Raw genomic sequence first — 6,000 nt, 5'->3', positions numbered from 1 at the left:
ACTAGAAAATCATGTTCAAATTGCAAAAGTAAATACATGTGGCATGGTTTCCGCAGTTGATAGTAGGTAGTAGGTAGAGACTTTATTTAAACTTGACATCTGTAATGTTCTCTTATGAGAGATACAGGACAAGTCATTGACCCATAGGTTAATCCATTTATAGAACCTCTGTAAATAATATTCCAAGTAAACACCCTATTGAGTCTACTATTTAATGGTTTCTACATTTTAGCAGCCACCTATTAATAACAAACTATAGAAATGATCCCTGAAAGTATACTCTTAGGAGCCACCTATTAATAAAGCACATAGATGTTATATTTACAAAGCAAGATGTATAAATTTAAATAATGTGAATGAAAGTAATGGTATAGCTAGAAAAATAAAAGATAGGAAATATTGCAAATAAACCAAAGGAAGTTTTGACATGTTAATTATGTTTTGGACAATCAGTTAGATGCTGACTACAGTTGAAAGACCAAGAAATAGAATACAACCAATAAAACAATTAACAATATTTTAACTAAAAATTATTGAGAGAGAGTCTGTGAATAGTGTGGCTGAACTTAGCATAAGTTCACTGTGTTTCTTATGTGATGACTGTATTTTAAGAAACTATAAAGTGATGATGGTAATCACAGAAGAACTAAAAGGGAAAACTTGAAATTGGTTGTTTCTGGGAAATGGAAAATGTGTTCTACTCGTCTATTTGAACTTTTACCATGTTCATAAACTGAGCATAGTACCTCAGAATGATCTGGCTAGCATAGGCCAGGATTATCAGTTTGCTTAATCTGGTTCTTTAATTTTTCCCTTCAGAACTGAGTCCCAAGATTGCAGTAGCTTTGATAGTAGACCTATCAAATGTGGGAACTCATTGTTAAGTATGGACTTAAACCAAAAGGTCTTCTCACATGTGCTTCTGTTAAGCTACATCTAAAAGCAAAACAGTTTATTCTTATTACATTTCATGTTATTTTCAAACCATCATTTCAATCTGACCAAATTTCTGCTAAATCATAATAACTTTGTCCTATATTCACATTCTGTTGGCTAATAAATACCTAATAAGCAAGGAATAATAGTTATCTTTCGTCCTTGACCTGAAAGAATTTCTGGGAGTGGAATTTTCTCCTTGATCCAGTTGATGGCTATGGTTCTCATTATTTCATGAAATGTGAGATGTCTGCCTCTTCTTTGAATGGTTCAAATTCACCCTGGCGTATTGGTATATTAAGTGAATAAGCTATACACACTAGGCTATTATACCCTGTGTAAGTGAAGTAGACTGAGCTGCTCATTTTTCTCATTCTTTACATTTTCTTCTTACTCTTGTAAATATGCCAATATTGACATTGGTTCTTTTTTTCCTCCTTAAAATTATCCTTCATTCTTGGCTTACTTCTTAAAATATGTCTTCTCTCTTGTCTAAAAATGCTTTCTCCTCCCCAAATCCATAGTAGAAAGGCAAAGTTTAAGCCTGCCCACTCTCTCTTTTAACAGAAAAGAACAGGTTTGCATAATTGACTATTAGTATCTCAGAAAAAAAAAACAAAGAAAATGCTTTGTAGGTCCCTGGAGCAGTTAGTCTTTTAGAGGTATTGGAACACCTACAGACTGCCAGAAGCTGAACCTCCTCACTTGGGGATCTTGGCTCCATGGAGATGCCTGGGAAGCTACTAGGTATTATTCCTGTATACCATCGTCAAACCTAGACTTCTTGGGCAAACATAAAAGCCAGAGACTTACACAAATTTTCATGATAAGATTCTAAAATATTTTGATCATCTATTCCCACCGTTTTTGCTAAACCTTTTCTTTTTTTATTATATTTTAAGTTCTGGGTTACATGTGCAGACTGTGCAGTTTCGTTACATAGGTATACACGTGCTATGGTGGTTTGCTGCACCCGTCAACCCATCACCTACATTAAGTATTTCTCCTAATGTTATCCCTCCCCCAGTACCCACCCCCTGACAGGCCCCAGTGTGTGATGTTCCCCACCCTGTGTCCATGTGTTCTCATTGTTAACTCCCACTTATGAGTGAGAACATGTGGTGTTTGGTTTTCTCATCTTGTGATAGTTTGCTGAGAATGATGTTAACCTTTTCATATACTATAAGGTTATTTTTTAAATATTCCAGTCTTCTTATCCTATTTAATATCCTCAAATTCTTTCATTTTCTTTTATAAACATGTTATTTTTCTAGCTGTTTCAATATTTATTTTGCCATACATGGTTCCAACTCCTCAATCATTGGGAGGGGAATGGGGAACAATTTGTGATTGTCTATCTCCACCTTAGAAAAGTGGTTCCTAAAGTGTGGTTCCCAAATCAGCAGCATCAGTATCACCAGGGAACACGTTAGAAATGTAAATTATCAGGCCCCAGCCCAGATGAAATCAGATGAATCAGAAATTGTGTGAATGGAGCACATTCATGTGGTTTTACACACCTTACAGGTGATTCTGATGCACACTAAAATTTGAGAATTATTGCCTTAGAATAATCATACAAAGGTAAACCCAACCAAACTTTAGAGATTATGCATAATTATACATATTAAGCATTTTATCTGAAGATGTAGTTACAGAAAATTATAATTAGCATGATATAATCTTCAGATAACTTCTATTTTCTCTTTTAATTTGGGGGAAAATCCTAAAAGAAAAGAAAGGATAAAGATGGAAACAATTTTGAGATTTTTTTGTTTTGTTTTTTTATTTTTTATTTTATTATTATTATACTTTAAGTTTTAGGGTACATGTGCACAATGTGCAGGTTAGTTACATATGTATACATGTGCCATGCTGGTGTGCTGCACCCATTAACTTGTCATTTAGCATTAGGTATATCTCCTAATGCTATCCCTCCTCCCTCCCCCGACCCCACAACAGTCCCCAGGGTGTGATGTGCCCCTTCCTGTGTCCATGTGTTCTCATTGTTCAATTCCCACCTATGAGTGAGAATATGCGGTGTTTGGTTTTTTGTTCTTGAGATAGTTTACTGAGAATGATGATTTCCAATTTCATCCATGTCCCTACAAAGGACATGAACTCATCATTTTTTATGGCTGCATAGTATTCCATGGTGTATATGTGCCACATTTTCTTAATCCAGTCTATCATTGTTGGACATTTGGGTTGCTTCCAAGTCTTTGTTATTGTGAGTAGTGCCGCAATAAACATACGTGTGCATGTGTCTTTATAGCAGCATGATTTATAGTCCTTTGGGTATATACCCAGTAATGGGATGGCTGGGTCAAATGGTATTTCTAGTTCTAGATCCCTGAGGAATCACCACACTGACTTCCACAATGGTTGAACTAGTTTACAGTCCTACCAACAGTGTAAAAGTGTTCCTATTTCTCCACATCCTCTCCAGCACCTGTTGTTTCCTGACATTTTAATGATTGCCATTCTAACTGGTGTGAGATGGTATCTCATTGTGGTTTTGATTTACATTTCTCTGATGGCCAGTGATGATGAGCATTTTTTCATGTGTTTTTTGGCTGCATAAATGTCTTCTTTTGAGAAGTGTCTGTTCATGTCCTTTGCCCACTTTTTGATGGTGTTGTTTGTTTTTTTCTTGTAAATTTGTTTGAGTTCATTGTAGATTTTGGATATTAGCCCTTTGTCAGATGAGTAGGTTGCAAAATTTTTCTCCCATTTTGTAGGTTGCCTGTTCACTCTGATGGTAGTTTCTTTTGCTGTGCAGAAGCTCTTTACTTTAATGAGATCCCACTTGTCAATTTTGGCTTTTGTTGCCATTACTTTTGGTGTTTTAGACATGAAGTCCTTGCCCATGCCTATGTCCTGAATGGTAATGCCTAGGTTTTCTTCTAGGGTTTTTATGGTTTCAGGTCTAACGTTTAAGTCTTTAATCCATCTTGAATTAATTTTTGTATAAGGTGTAAGGAAGGGATCCAGTTTCAGCTTTCTACATATGGCTAGCCAGTTTTCCCAGCACCATTTATTAAATAGGGAATCCTTTCCCCATTGCTTATTTTTCTCAGGTTTGTCAAAGATCAGATAGTTGTAGATATGCGGCGTTATTTCTGAGGGCTCTGTTCTGTTCCATTGATTTATATCTCTGTTTTGGTACCAGTACTATGCTGTTTTGGTTACTGTAGCCTTGTAGTATAGTTTGAAGTTAGGTAGCATAATGCCTCCAGCTTGGTTATTTTGGCTTAGGATTGACTTGGCGATGTGGGCTCTTTTTTGGTTCCATATGAACTTTCAAGTAGTTTTTTCCAATTCTGTGAAGAAAGTCATTGGTAGCTTGATGGGGATGGCATTGAATCTATAAATTACCTTGGGCAGTATGGCCATTTTCACGATACTGATTCTTCCTACCCATGAGCATGGACTGTTCTTCCATTTGTTTGTATCCTCTTTTATTTCATTGAGCAGTGGTTTGTAGTTCTCCTTGAAGAGGTCCTTCATGTCCCTTGTAAGTTGGATTCCCAGGTATTTTATTCTCTTTGAAGCAATTGTGAATAGGAGTTCACTCATGATTTGGCTCTCTGTTTGTCTGTTATTGGTGTATAAGAATGCTTGTGATTTTTGTACATTGATTTTGTATCCTGAGACTTTGCTGAATTTGCTTATCAGCTTAAGGAGATTTTGGGCTGAGACAATGGGGTTTTTTAGATACACAATCATGTCATCTGCAAACAGGGACAATTTGACTTCCTCTTTTCCTAATTGAATACCCTTTATTTCCTTCTCCTGCCTAATTGCCCTGGCCAGAATTTCCAACACTATGTTGAATAGGAGTGGTGAGAGAGGGCATCCCTGTCTTGTGCCAGTTTTCAAAGGGAATGCTTCCAGTTTTTGCCCATTCAGTATGATATTGGCTGTGGGTTTGTCATAGATAGCTCTTATTATTTTGAAATACGTCCCATCAATACCTAATTTATTGAGAGTTTTTAGCATGAAGGGTTGTTGAATTTTGTCAAAGGTTTTTTCTGCATCTATTGAGATAATCATGTGGTTTTTGTCTTTGGCTCTGTTTATATGCTGGATTACATTTATTGATTTGCGTATATTGAACCAGCCTTGCATCCCAGGGATGAAGCCCACTTGATCATGGTGGATAAGCTTTTTGATGTGCTGCTGGATTCGGTTTGCCAGTATTTTATTGAGGATTTTTGCATCAATGTTCATCAAGGATATTGGTCTAAAATTCTCTTTTTTGGTTGTGTCTCTGCCCAGCTTTGGTATCAGGATGATGCTGGCCTCATATAATGAATTAGGGAGGATTCCCTCTTTTTCTACTGATTGGAATAGTTTCAGAAGGAATGGTACCAATTCCTCCTTGTACCTCTGGTAGAGTTCAGCTGTGAATCTATCTGGTCCTGGACTCTTTTTGGTTGGTAAGCTATTGATTATTGCCACAATTTCAGAGCCTGTTATTGGTCTATTCAGAGATTCAACTTCTTCCTGGTTTAGTCTTGGGAGGGTGTATGTGTCAAGGAATTTATCCATTTCTTCTAGATTTTCTAGTTTATTTGCATAGAGGTGTTTGTAGTATTCTCTGATGGTAGTTTGTATTTCTGTGGGATCAGTGGTGATATCCCCTATATCATTGTTTATTGCGTCTATTTGATTCTTCTCTGTTTTCTTCTTTATTAGTCTTGCTAGCAGTCTATCAATTTTGTTGATCCTTTCAAAAAACCAGCTCCTGGATTCATTAATTTTTTGAAGGGTTTTTTGTGTCTCTATTTCCTTCAGTTCTGCTCTGATTTTAGTTATTTCTTGCCTTCTGCTAGCTTTTGAATGTGTTTGCTCTTGCTTTCCTAGTTCTTTTACTTGTGATGTTAGGATGTCAATTTTTGATCTTTCCTGCTTTCTCTTGGGGGCATTTAGTGCTATAAATTTCCCTCTACACACTGCTTTGAATGTGTCCCAGAGATTCTGGTATGTTTTGTCTTTGTTCTCATTGGTTTCAAAGAACATCTCTATTTCTGCCTTCATTTCATTAGGTACCCAATAGTC

The 6,000-nt window shown here is 36.5% G+C and overlaps 1 pseudogene; it reads right to left on the bottom strand.

The window, feature by feature from the left end:
- Positions 1-206: 206 nt before the first annotated feature.
- LOC124900927 (uncharacterized) lies at positions 207-284 on the bottom strand (annotated as a pseudogene).
- Positions 285-6,000: the final 5,716 nt, after the last annotated feature.

Source organism: Homo sapiens, chromosome 4 (genome assembly GCF_000001405.40).
Source record: "Homo sapiens chromosome 4, GRCh38.p14 Primary Assembly".
In the NCBI taxonomy this organism is placed as follows: domain Eukaryota; kingdom Metazoa; phylum Chordata; class Mammalia; order Primates; family Hominidae; genus Homo; species Homo sapiens.
This window is presented reverse-complemented; position numbering and strand designations above follow the sequence as displayed.